Source organism: Homo sapiens, chromosome 19 (genome assembly GCF_000001405.40).
Source record: "Homo sapiens chromosome 19, GRCh38.p14 Primary Assembly".
Classification (NCBI taxonomy): Eukaryota; Metazoa; Chordata; class Mammalia; order Primates; family Hominidae; genus Homo; species Homo sapiens.
In genome coordinates this window covers 50,151,448-50,165,304 of record NC_000019.10, presented here as the reverse complement: position 1 = coordinate 50,165,304, position 13,857 = coordinate 50,151,448, and the positions used below count along the sequence as shown (strand labels likewise).

At 47.5% G+C, this 13,857-nt stretch overlaps 1 protein-coding gene across 5 annotated transcripts; it reads left to right on the top strand.

Annotated features, from left to right (window-relative positions):
- The first annotated feature begins 2,023 nt into the window (after window positions 1-2,023).
- IZUMO2 (IZUMO family member 2) lies at window positions 2,024-12,757 on the top strand. 5 transcript variants are annotated; one of them, NM_001321449.1, is made up of 8 exons: window positions 2,024-2,342; window positions 2,492-2,566; window positions 5,725-5,811; window positions 6,055-6,075; window positions 6,957-7,037; window positions 10,579-10,705; window positions 11,499-11,628; window positions 12,654-12,757. In NM_001321449.1, exons 1-7 carry the CDS (start codon window positions 2,111-2,113, stop codon window positions 11,614-11,616), a joined length of 741 nt encoding a protein of 246 aa, NP_001308378.1. In that variant the 5' UTR covers window positions 2,024-2,110; the 3' UTR covers window positions 11,617-11,628; window positions 12,654-12,757. The 5 variants fall into 5 exon arrangements, 4 of the variants coding, with proteins under 4 accessions (NP_001308378.1, XP_011524738.1, NP_689571.2 ...); XM_011526436.3 differs by lacking the exon at window positions 11,499-11,628 and having other exon boundaries at window positions 10,608-10,705; NM_152358.3 differs by lacking the exon at window positions 11,499-11,628.
- Window positions 12,758-13,857: the final 1,100 nt, after the last annotated feature.

The following is a 13,857-nucleotide window of genomic DNA, read 5'->3' as shown; positions in this document are numbered from 1 at the left end:
AAAAATTAAAAAATAAAAAAGGGAACCCAAAGAGTCCTCTCACCCTCTTTTTGCCATGTGAGGATACAAGAAGAGAGCTCCACCAGAACCTGACCTTGCTGGTGCTCTGCTCTTGGATTTCCAGCCTCCAGAGCTGGAAGAAATAAATTCTGTTGTTTATAAGCCACCCAGTCTATGGAGTTTTGTTGTAGAACCTAAACTATTAATAAGACAACTGCCCTCTCCTACTCTGCCTCTCTCTCCTCCTCTCTCCCTCAACGTAGTAATATTTAGTCTTAATTAATTTAATCTCTCTGAATTAATATTTAACTATATATTAATATATCATATTATTTTGACATTTGCTATATCTCTGTGTATACTATTATAATGTCTTTTAGTTGAATTTCTATGATTTAATTGATATTAAATTCATCTACATATATAGAGAGATACAGCGAATGCAAAATGTGAAGTCATATCTGAGTGTTTATTGGGTCATCCTTGCAACTGTTCTCCAGATTTTAAAACTTTCAAGATGAAAATTGCAGGGAAAAACAAAGTGCCCTTCCCTCAGTATACCCTCCCTTGTGGATTCATTGATTTGCTAAATATCTGTTGAACAACTAGTACACGCTAGGCGCTGGACAACAGCAGGGAACCAGACCCTACCTCCTGGCCTCAGGGAACTCTCTTAACTGTATCACACTGTGTATTTGCTTCCCAGCAGGTAATGCAGTTTGTCAGTATTTCAGTTACTCATCTGTGTACCAGGTTTTACGTTTCTCTTCCTGCCACTCCCTCCCATCCCTGCTAGCCTGAACTCTATGAGCAGAGATTGTGTTCGTCTTATGTCAGTCTATCTCTGGAGCCTGGCACATAGTAGGTGCTCAATAAATATTTGTTGAGTTAATTAATTTAAGTACTGCAAGCACAAGAACCTCTTGTTTTTCTCAGCTCTAGCTCTGGGGGCCTTGAACAGCACCTGGCACATAGTAGGTGTTCAATAAATAAATATGTGTTGCATGTAAGGTTGAACGCAGTGGCCTGTAATCCCAGCACTTTGGGAGGCTGAGGCGGGTGAATTACTTGAGGTCAGGAGTTCCAGACCAGCCTGAACAACAGGGTGAAAACCCGTTTCTACTAAAAATACACAAATCAGCTGGGTGTGGTGGTGCGTGCCTGTAATCCCAGCTACACAGGAGGCTGAGGTAGGAGAATCTCTTGAACCTGGGAGGCAAAGATTGCAGTGAGCTGAGATCGCACCACTGAGCTCCAGCCTGTGACACAGAGTGAGACTCCATCTCTCTCTCTCTCTCTCTCTCTCTCTCTCTCTCTCTCTCTCTCTCTCTCTATATATATATATATATATATATATATATATATATATATATAAATTATCTGGGTGTGGTGGCATGGTAACCCCAGCTACTCGGTTGGCTGAGGCACAAAAATAGGTTGAACCTGGGAGGTAGAGCTTGCCGTGACCCGGGATCGCCTCACTGCACTCCAGCCTGGGTGACAGAGCAAGACTCTGTCTCAAAAAAAAAAAAAAAAAAAAAAAAAAAAAACAATATGTGGGCCGGGCGTGGTGACTCACACCTATAATCCCAGCACTTTGGGAGGCCGAGGCGGGCAGATCACCTGAGGTCAGGAGTTTGAGACCAGCCTGGCCAACATGATGAAACCCCGTCTCTACTAAAAATAAAAAATTAGCCGGACGTGGTGGCGCACGCCTGTAGTCCCAGCTACTTGGGAGGCTGAGGCAGGAGAATCACTTGAACCCGGGAGGCGGAGGTTGCAGTTAACCGAGATCACACCACTGCACGCCAGCCTGGGTGACAGAGTTGAGACTCCATCTCGGGAAAAAATAAATAAATAAATAAAATAAAACAATATGTGTTGAATGAATAAATTTAAGAGGAATTAGTAAGTTCCAAGAGGGGTTGAGCAGAGGCTTTCTGTTTTTCTTGACTTTCTCTCTAGGTTCTAGAACCATGCCTGGCACATAGCAGGTGCTCAGCGAACACGTGCCTGTAACACCGTGATGCTCCCTGGGCCTCCTGACCGCGCCCTCGCCTGGGAGGCGGGGCGGGCCGGGTTCTCTCTGTGACGTCACAAAGGCCCCGCCATGCCTCTGGCTTTGACCCTTCTGCTGCTCTCGGGCTTGGGCGCCCCCGGAGGCTGGGGCTGCCTGCAGTGCGACCCCTTGGTGCTGGAGGCCCTGGGTCACCTGCGCTCCGCCCTCATCCCCAGTCGCTTCCAGTTGGAGCAGCTGCAGGCGCGCGCCGGGGCCGTGCTGATGGGCATGGAGGGGCCTTTCTTCCGGGACTACGCGCTGAACGTGTTTGTGGGGAAAGTGGGTGCGTGTTGGGAGAAATTGGGCAGCGGGGCTGGGCGAGGGATGCCGGAGACCACGCCCCCAAGAGGGGTCGGGGCCAGGCCTGGAGGGGGTGAGGTCACTTGGCTCTCTGGGGGGCTCACTGGAGTGTCCTCTCCCTTCTCCCCCCAGAGACAAATCAACTGGACCTTGTGGCGTCCTTTGTCAAGAACCAAACGCAGCACTTAATGGGTAACTCTCTGAAAGGTAGGAGAGACGAGGGAACGCCTTCTCCAGCACCCCTCTTCTTTCCGCCGGTCTGCCCCACCTCCCTTGAATATAAAAATAAGAGCAAACACGCATGCAATGTAGCCTTTTTTTTTTCTTTTTTAAGAGACAGAGCCTCACTGTCGCTCCGGCTGGAGTGCAGTAGCGCCATCACAGCTCACTGCAGCCTCGACCTCCAGGGCTCCAGCGATCCTGCCGCCTCAGCCTCCCAAGTAGCTGGGACCACAGGCATGTGCCACCACACCTGGCTAATTTTCTACTTTTTAATTTTTTGTAGAGACTGGGTCTCATTATATTGCCCAGGCTGGTCTCAAACTTCTGGCCTCAATAAATCCTTGTGTCTCAGCCTCCCAAAGTGCTGGGATTACAGGTGTGAGCCACTGCACCTGGTCATAAACCAAGATACTCTTTTATTTATTTATTTATTTTTATTTTTTGAGACGGTCTCGCCCTGTCACCCAGGCTCGAGTGCAGTGCCACAATCTCTGCTCACTGGAGCTTCCGCCTGCCGGGTTCAAGCGATTTTCCTGCCTCAGCCTCCCGAGTAGCTGGGATTACAGGCACCCACCACCATGCCCGGCTAATTTTTGTATTTTTAGTAGAGACGAGGTTTCACCATGTTGGCCAGGCTGTTCTCAAACTTCTGACCTCAAGTGATCTGCCCGCCTAGGCCTCCCAAAGTGCTGGGATTATAGGCGTAAGCCACCATGCCTGGCCAAACCAAGATACTCTTAACAGGCAGGATATTCCAAGGAAATAGAGGTTACCTTCTGTGAGCCAGGCAAGAGCCAAATTTTTTTGGGGGGGAGCGGGGGATGTGCAGGATTGGGACAACCCAGGCCTGCTCAGTTAATCCTTTATTGCCCGATAAAATATGTCAAATGGAGGGAGATGCTAAGGAGGAAAAAAATAAAGCAGGGACCACGGAATAGCAAGTGCTGTGAGTAGGGGTGGGGATTGCAGCTTAAAGTAGGGCATCCAAAAAAGATGTCCCTTAAAAAGGAGCATGTGAGAAAAGACCTGAAGGGGAGAGGGAAGCAGCCATGAGGGGGTCTAGGGGTAGAAGGGTGCAGGCAGAAAGAACAGCTGGTGGAATCCCTGAGATGGGACTATGTTTGGCATAGTCACAGAACATCCAAGAAGGCCAGAGTGGAGTGAGACGGCGACATTGTCTCTATGGAAGATGAGATCTTAGAGTTAAGGGGAGGGAATGGGTATTTTGAATATTGAACAAACAGGATTTGTTGCCAGTCATGCTGACGAATTGCACAGGGATATAAAAAAAAGAAAGGCGTCAGCCGGGCACAGTGGCTCACGCCTGTAATCCCAGCACTTTGGGAGGCTGAGGACGGTGGGTCACCTGAGGTTGGGAGTTCAAGACCAGCCTGACCAACATGGAGAAACCCTGTCTCTACTAAAAATACAAAATTAGCCAGCTATGGTGGCACTCCTGTAATCCCAGCTACTCAGGAGGCTGAGGCAGGAGAATTGCTTGAACCCAGGAGGCGGAGGTTGCGGTGAGCTGAGATTGCGCCATTGCACTCCAGCCTGGGCAACAAGAGCAAAACTACGTCTCAAAAAAAAAAAAAAAGAAAAAGGAAAAGAAAAAGGCGTCAAAGCACCAAGGATTTTGAATTGAGCAATTAGAATCATGACACATCTATTTACTAAGATGGAGTAGACTGGGAGGTTGGGAGTAGGTCTGGAGGAGAATAACGAGGGTTCAGTTTTGGACTTAGTGGGTTTGAGATGCCTCTTAGACATCCAATTGGATATCTTGACCAGATAGTTGGGTATATAAATCCCACCTTCAGTGAGCCCTCTGGGCTAGTAATATAAACGTGGGGGGCATCTGTGTATAGAACAGCACCATCCAATAGAAATAGAATGTCAGCCACAAATAGGAGTCACATATGCAATTTTAAATTTTCTAGTAGCAGCCGGGCACGGTGGCTCATGCCTGTAATCCCAGCACTTTGGGATGCCGAGACAGGTGGATCGCCTGAGGTCAGGAATTCAAGACTAGCCTGGCCAACATGGTAAAACCCCGTCTCTACTAAAAATACAAAAATTAGCCAGGTGTGGTGGCGGGCACCTGTAATCCCAGCTACTCAGGCTGAGGCAGGAGAATCACTTGAACCTAGGAGGCAGAGGTTGCAGTGAGCAAAGATCACGCCATTGCACTCCAGCCTGGGCGACAAGAGCAAAACTCCGTTTGAAAAAAAAAAAAAAAATTCTAGTAGTCACATTTTTAAAAAGGTAAATAGAAACAGGTGAAATTAATTTTAATAATATATTTTAGTTAACCCAATATATAAAATATCACCATTTCAGCATGCAATCCACATAGGAATTATCAATATATTTTACAGGTTTTTTGCACAATGTCTTTAAAATCCAGTGTACATTTTATACCTACAGCACATCTCAATTCAGACTAGCCTATTTCAAGTGTTCAGTAGCCATGTGTGGCTAGTGGCTACCACACTGGACAGTGCACGTCTAGGTAATATATAAAGCCATATGGATTGAAATCATGAAGGAGTGAGTGTAGACACAAAAAAGAAGAGGTCGGGTGCGGTGGCTCACGTCTGTAATCCCAGCACTTTGGGAGGCCGAGGTGGGAGGATCACCTGAGGTCAGGAGTTTGAAACCAGCCTGGCCAACATGGCGAAACCCTGTCTCTACTAAAAATACAAAAAATTAGCCAGGTGTGATGGCACGTGCCCGTAATCCCAGCTATTTGGGAGGCTGAGGCAGGAGAATCGCTTGAACTTGGGAGGCCGAGGTTGCAGTGAGCCGAGATCACACCACTGCACTCCAGCCTGGGCAACAGAGTGAGACTCCGTCTCAAAAAGAAAAAAAAAAGAAGAGGAGAAGAGAGATCAAATCCACTTGCCAGATGAGGAAAGTGAGGCCAAGGAAGGGTGGCTTTGCCTAGGCCCCACGGTGAATCAGAATATAGATGCAGGATCTCCCTGGCCATAGATTTGCCTGGGGGACCCTTAGTAATCCTGGTCTTGGTTACCCTTTATAAATGAAGAGGAGCTTCCTCATCTCTTCTCCTGGAAGCTTCAGGTAGTGGGGTGGGCTTTCTGGGTGCCTCCCACCCCACAGAGATCTCTTTCTCTCCTCAGATGAGCCTCTGCTGGAAGAGCTGGTGACCCTCAGGGCGAATGTGATCAAGGAATTCAAGAAAGTTTTAATTTCATATGAATTAAAAGGTGCAGCATATCTCTCCACCAATCCCCTCTCCTCTTCTCCCTTGACCTCTTGATCCCCTTTTACCACTTTTTCTCCCAAACTCCTTCTTCACCTCCCCTATAGCTCAGCCTTCTTCATCTCTCCCCAATCTTCCCTTCTCTCCTTTCCCAGCCTCACCCCTTACCTGCTCTCCTGATCCCTTTCCAATTAAATTATCAAGTTGCCATCCCAATTTAACTCACCTCAGCAATTTTCTCTTGCAGCCTGCAACCCCAAACTTTGCCGTGAGTTCTGGATCGTCTATCTCTCCCTTCTCTACCCTCCTAACCCCCTTCACCCTGTCTCCCCAAATCAAGCCTGGCTACCACTCCTTACTCCATTTGGCAGTTCCCTTACCCCAAAGCCATGGTACCTAGGGAGATTTGCTTTTTAAAGGTTTATGAAAATAATGACTATCTGCAAAACAACATTTTGAAGGTACGTAAGTCACAATAAAATAGGCTATGTTGTATTAACAAATAAACCCTCACATCTTGGTGGTTTAACACAACAAAGGTTTATTTTTCTTTCACCCAAATTTCATTGACAGTTGAGTGGCAGTCCAGGTGGTGACTCAGGGATCCAGGCTATACACACATGGCAGCTTCTAAGCATGCTTCAAAAGGAAAAGCAATAGCAATCACACTGAGTTGTATAGCCAAGCCTGGAAGGGACACACATGATCCTGCTCACTTTCCATTGGCCAGGACTAGGTCACATGGTCACAGTTTACTGAAAGGCACCCTGGGAAATGTAGCCCTCCTGTATGCACCAGTAGAGGAGGAGGCAGTGTGCCCAAAGAGGAGACATCTCACCAGTGTCTGCAAAAGAGGCTCCAAATTAGAAAAAGAAAAGTGCAAACTCAGAATTAACAAATGTTTAATTAAATGTCCACAAGCAGAATGCTGAATCTACTGGATGAATTTAGTTCTTCAATGATTATATAACAATTATTTTTTATGTGAATTGTCAGTGCATTTTGCTTAGTTCCTCTGCTGGGCAGTGGGACCTATGAAATTTAGGAGAAGCCAAGGGACCCCATCTCCTCTTTCTCCTTCTTCCTTTCCACCCTTGCCGGTCCTCTGATATCTGCCCTTGTCTTACTTCTCCCTTTCCCCTTGCCTAGGCTTGCTAAAAGAAGAGGTGTTGGACTGTTTACATTGCCAGAGGATCACTCCCAAGTGTATCCACAAAAAGTACTGCTTTGGTAAGCTTCTGGGGGTGGGGGAAGACATGGGACAGGCGTGCAAGAGATGAAGACAGCCATGACCCACTAGATATGGGTTTCGAGGCTCCCACATGCAGCCTCGAATCCTGCCCTAACCATTTGCTTAGAGTGTGGCCCAGAAGTTGCTCCTGTATTCTGAAATTCACTTTCCTCCATCTGTTAAATGGAAAGACTCCCTGGAACTTTAGAATGCCCCTAGCTCCAGAATGGCAGGTGCTAGAAAAAGATTTTATTCTTAGCCATTGCTATACCTGGGGAATTTGGAAGGATGTGCTGAATTCACTCATTCATTCATTCATAAATCTAAAAAACATACATTCTTTTTTTTTTTTTTTTATATGGATTCTCGCCCAGGCTGGAGTACAATGGCAGGATCTTGGCTCACTGCAACCTCTGCCTCCCAGGTTCAAGTGATTCTCCTGCCTCAGCCTCCCAAGTAGCTGGGACTACAAGTGTGCACCACCATACCCTGATAAGTTTTGTATTTTTAGTAGAGATGGGGTTTGACCATGTTGGCCAGGCTGGTCTCAAACTCTTGACCTCAGGTGATCCACTCGGCTCCCAAAGTGCTGGGATTACAGGCGTGAGCCACCATGCCCAGCCTAAAAAACGTATTCTCATAGCAGAAAGAATAGTACAACGAGACCGAACATGCAGTGGCTCACGCCTGTAATCCCAGCACTTTGGGAGTCCGAGGCAGGCAGATCACAAGGTCAGGAGTTTGAGACCAGCCTGGCCAACATAGTGAAACCCCGTCTCTACTAAAAATACAAAAAACTACCCTAGCGTGGTGGCAGGCACCTGTAATCCCAGCTACTCAGGAGGCTGGGGCAGGAGAATCGCTTGAATATAGGAGGTGGAGGCTGCAGTGAGCCAAGATCGCACCATTGCACTCCAGCTTGGGTGACAATGCGAGACTCCATCTCAAAAAAAAAAAAAAAAAAGTATAATGAATCCACATCTATCTATCCGGGTTGAATAGTCATGCTGGATCTTTTCACATGCTGTTCCCTCTCTCTGTCACACTGTTCCAATCACTCCTTCACTTCATTTGGGTCTCAAAGGTCACTTCCTCAGACAGGCCTCTCTGATCATAATCTCAAAAGTAGCACTTACTATCAAATTATGTTAACAATTAACATTCTTCCATATTTATTTCACCTACTTTATTCTTTGCCATAGTATCTTAAAAGAAACCACAGACACCATGCCCCATACATAGCATGTACCTCTAAAAATAATGACATTTTCCTAAGTAGCCACAATGTCGTTCCCACACCCTCCAAACCTAGCAATGATTCCTCAATGTCAAATAATTCCAGGTCCCACTGTCAACTTCCTTAATTGTCCCCAGAATATTTTTCACAGTTGATTTGTTCAAACCAGTGTTCAATGAAAGGACTTCTTATATCATTCAATTGTTAGGTTTTTCTCTTCTTTTTAAAATCTAGAACAGTTTTTGTTTTGTTTTGTTTTGTTTTGTTTTTTTAGACTGATTCTTGCCATGTTGGCCAGGCTGGTCTCGAACTCCTGGGCTCAAATGATTCGCCCACCTCAGCCTCCCAAAGTGCTGGGATTACAGGCATGAGTCACTGCACCCGGCCTAGAACAGTTTCTCTTATCAGTTTTTGGGTTTTTTTTTTTCCCTCCATGACATTGGCATTGAAAAAGAAGGGAGTGTGTCCTATAGAGTGTCCCACTTTTGGATTTGCCTGTTTGCTTCCTTTGGCTGGTATTTGGTGACAACAAATATTTTGAGCACCCTACGATGTCCCAAACTGAGGAACAGTGGAATGGGAGACAGATGTAGTTCCTGCCCTCATGGAGCCCACATTTTAATGGGGCCAGAGGTTAGACTAGGGTTTCTCAACCTCAGCACTGTTGAGATTTGGAGCTGGATCATTCTTTGTTAGGGAGGCTGTCCTGGTCATTGTAGGATGTTTAGCAACATCCCTAGCTTCGATCCACCAGATGCCAGTAGCATCTCCCTCCCCATTATGACAATCAGAAATGTCCCCAGACATTTCCAAATGTCCCTTGAGTGACAAAATTATCCCAGATTGAGAACCACTGGGTTAGATGGTAATTGCATGAACAAATAAACAGGCTTGATCCAGATGGCAATGGTGTTCTAATGAAAATAGAATGGTTTGGTAGATAGTGCCTGGGGGAGGCTGCTACTTTAGAAAATACGGATGTAGGGCACCTCTAAAGAGGTGACTTTTGAAAGCTGAAGGAAGTAAGTGAGTGATGGGAACAGTGTCAATGACAGAGGGAACAGCACATGCAAAGATCCAACATGATTAAGCAACAAGGAGGAGAAGGCCAGTGTGGCCAGAGCCGAGTGAATGAAAGAGAATAGTAGGGTGGCTAGAACAATGGCCGGGTCACGTGGGAACCAGATGGTGCAGGGCTTGCAAGAGCATGGTGAGAACTTGAGCTTTTATTCTGAGATGGGGGGCCATGGAGTAGCAGGAAGACACTGAGCAGAGGGAGCCGACTTAGGTTTTAACAGCGCCTCCCGGAGGCCATGTGAGGAACTGTGGGAGGAGGGGTCAAGGGAGCCTCCTAAGAGAAGCAGTGGGCTGGGGTTGGACCTGCTTGGTAGCCATGGAAGTGGATTGGATTCTGCCTACAGTTTGAAGGTCAAGCCAAGAGGCTTTGCTGATGGAAGGAAAGAGTTGGTGGTGGGAGGCAAGTGGAAGACGCAGAAAGCAACTCCCAAGGCCACCTTCAGGGCCAATAGCTAAGATGCAGCAACTAAGACTTTCATCTTGTGAAACTGTTCGCATTTTGCACCTCCCTCTCATGTGCATGGTGTCTCTGGTTTTTGTTTTGTTTTGTTTTCTGAGACAGGGTCTTGCTCCGTCCCCCAGGCTGGGGTGCAGTGGCACAGTCACGGCTCACGGCAGCCTCAACCTCCTGTGCTCAAGCAATCCTCCCACCTCAGCCTCCTGAGTTGCTAGGACTACAGGCTCGTGCCACCATACCTAGCTAATTTTTTCTTTTTTGTAGAGATAGGATCTCACAGCCCATGCTGACTTGAACTCCTGGGCTGAAGTGATCCCCCTGCCTCAGCTTCCCAAAGTACTGGGATTATAGGCGCAAGCTCACCATGCCTGACCATTGTATCGTATCTTTTGGTTTTGAGTCAAACTTCCCAAGTCCTCCTCACCCCACCCCATCCCATCAAATGAAATGCTTTTAGAACTAGCTCCTCACTGTAACTGTGATAACTGTGATATGCGGGGTGGACTGTCAACTCCATGAGTCCAGTTTGCCAGTTTGGTTCCCGGCTATATCCCAAATGCCTACAATGGCGCCTGAGACAGAGCACTAGAGGAATGGATAAATGGAGACTCAGACCCCAGGAGAGGGCAGGGAACAAGCAGGAAGAGAAGAAGAGAGAGCGCCCCACCCCCACCCCTGCCCCAGGCTGCTGAATGAACAGGTGGGGTGGGTATGGGGCTAAGGAGGGGTGGTGACGTGGAGGTCGGGGCTGTTTCCCCACCCGCCCCAGTCGACCGGCAACCCCGCGTGGCCCTGCAGTACCAGATGGACAGCAAATACCCGAGGAACCAGGCGCTGTTGGGCATCCTCATTTCTGTGTCTCTGGCTGTCTTTGTCTTCGTGGTCATCGTGGTCTCGTGAGTCATCCTTGCCCCCTCCTCAGTCCCCCGTGGAACCCACTGGGCCCCTCAAAAATGGCGACTCCCCTGGATGGGTCACTGTGTACTTTGGGAGTCTCCTCTTCAGTCACTTTAGTCTCTGTCTCTCTTTTTCTCTCTGTCTCTCTCCTCCCTCTTCTCCCTCCCGCCCCCTGCCCCGTACCTTTCTCTCATCTTATTTCTGTCTTTCTTCCTCATTTTCCTTTTTCTCCACCTCTGGGCCACATTACAACTTTCCCGGGTCCTCAGCACTTTTGCCTTTGTGGGCCTCTTCTTACATTAAAAAAAAAAAAAAAAAAAAAAAAAAAAAAAAACGCTAAAAGTTATATTTGGTGGATGCATTGGTAGAAAGACAAATATCATCCAAGTTGGCTTCATTATGTTCTATGCATCATCATAATTACTGTTGTTATATTCATTTATCTTCTTCTGGCTTTTAAAGATACTACAGTGAAAACATTTCCATGGACCCCAGGCCCTGTGCCTAGGGAGGAAGTGGCCCTCACCTTCCTCTCCCCCTCTAAGCTTATCTCGCTGCCTCTTTATGCTTGTGCCCTCCCCCTCCCCCCCAGCCCCTTCTCCGGCCCCTCTCTTCCCCTCTCCGTCTCAATTTCTCTCTCTCTCTCTCTGCCTCCTCCAAGTACCCAATTAATCTCCTTTCCCTAACGCCTCAGTTTCTTCATATGCAAAAAGGGAGTAATGCCATCACCTCCCACTGGCGGGGGTGGTGATAACTGAATCAGTGAACGCTCTTTTTTTTTTTTTTCTTGAGATGGAGTCTCGCTCTGTGGCCCAAGCTGGAGTGCAATGGCGCGATCTTGCGACCTTGGCTCACTGCAACCGCTGCCTCTCAGGTTCAAGCGATTCTTCTGCCTCAGCCTCCTGAGTAGCTGGGACTACAGGTGCCCACCACCAAGCCTGGCTAATTGTTATATTTTCATTAGAGACGGGGTTTCGCCATGTTGGCCAGGCTGGTCTCAAACTCCTGACTTCAGGTGATCCACCTGCCTCATCCTCCCAAAGTGCTGGGATTACAGTCATGAGTCACCGCGCCTGGCCAGTGAACGCTGTTAATAACACTTAGCGCATGGGGAGTGCTCCGTGCAGGCTACCTCTCACTGTGAACTTGCTCAGCCTCTCTTCCAACTCTCTCTCCTCATTTCTCTGTCTCCCTGTGTATTCATTTCCTATTGCTGCTGTAACATCACCACAAATTGGGTGACTTAAAGCAAAAGAAATGTATTCTCTGGGTTCTGAAAGCAGAAGTCTGAAATCAAGAGGTTGGCAAAGTTGGTTCCTTCCAGAGCCTCTGAGAGTGAATCCACCCCATGCCTGTGTCCTAGCTGCTGGTGGCTGCTGGCATTCCTTAGCTCCCTTCTAATCCCTTCCTCTGTCTTCACATGGTTTTGTTTTCTGTGTGTCCATCTCAAATCTCCCTCTCCTTTCTCTTCTAAGGACACCTGTCTTTAGATGTAGGGCCCATCCTAAATCTCATGTCACCTTAACTTAATTACATCTGCAAAGACCGTGTTTCCAATTAAGGTCACATTCCCAGGTCCTAGGAGTTGGGACTTGGATATATCTTTGGGGTGGGGGACACGCTGTAACCCACTATACCTGCTTCCACTATACCCTGTCTCTACCTTATCTCTCTCCATTTCTGCCTGTGTCTCCTCTTGTCTTTTTGGACTCTTTCTGTTCCCACATTTGACCATCACCCCTGGTCCCAGCTCTTCTCTCCTCTCTCCTCACCAACTCCGGTTGGCAGAGAACCCTGAAAATCTGCCCAGATGCCCATGACGTCACTGGATGAGCCAAATCAGGCCAAAGATTGTAGGAAAGTTATGGGGAGGGAAGTTATGGGTCTCTTGATCTGGAAAAGCTTGAAATTCTCATTCTAATCTACAGGCTTTTTCTCTCTGACCAGGGCTTGTACATACAGACAAAACCGAAAACTCCTGCTGCAGTAGGACGGTGGTTTGGGGGTAAGGAGAAAGGAAAATAAATTTAATAAAATTGGTGACAAATCCATCAATGTCTCTGTCCATTTCCTGGGGACCCTCCCCCTAGTTGGTGTCCAACTCTGTTTCTCTACCTGACTGGGTGCTCCTCAAAGGCTGGGACCAGATCCCACTCATCTGTAGACACCCATTATCCTAATTCAAGGTAGAAGTGACTTGGACCTTCAAAAAGGATGGACAGCATATTGTAAGGGTTTGAAGTGACAACCACTTATCCTCTGGGAAGGAAATGCATCCGAAAGGACATGACTCAGTGCAACCCTCGAGGATGGTTAAATAGAGGAAGAGCAGTGGTCAATGTGGAAGGTACAGGTTTTCTTCTCTATCTGAACTACAATTCTTCACCCTCTGTGCACCTGAATACTAGATTCGAATACATTTTCTTTCTTTTTCTTTTCTTTTTTTTTTTTTTTTTTGAGACAGAGTCCTGCTCTGCCACCCAGGTTGGAGTGCAGTGCCATGATCTCAGCTCACTGCTGCCTCCCGGTTTCAAGCGATTCTCCTGCCTCAGCCTCCTAAGTAGCTGGGATTACAGGTGTGCGCCACCATGCCCAGCTAATTTTTTTTTTTTTTTTTTTTTTTTTTGAGACGGAGTCTTGCTCTTTTGCCCAGGCCGGACTTGCAGTGACGCTATCTGGTCTCACTGCAAGCTCCGCCTCCCAGGTTCACGCCATTCTCCTGCCTCAGCCTCCCGAGTAGCTGGGACTACAGGTGCCCACCACCGCGCCCAGCTAATTTTTTGTACTTTTAGTAGAGACGGGTTTTCACTGTATTAGCCAGGATGGTCTTGATCTCCTGACCTTGTGATGCGTCTGCCTCGGCCTCCCAAAGTGCTGGGATTACGGGCGTAAGCCACCGCGCCCGGCTTAATTTTTGAATTTTTAGTAGAGACGGGGTTTCACTATGTTGGCCAGGCTGGTTTCGAACTCCTGACCTCAAGTGATCCGCCAGCCTCAGCCTCGCAAAGTGCTGGGATTACAGGCGTGAGCCACCGCGCCTGGCCAGGGTTTGTTTGTTTTAACGTCTTAATGCTGCAGGTCCAGACACTTCCTCAACTTCATGGAAATTTCCTGGGAGAAGTGCAGAATAAACAGATAATTAAGTCGTACA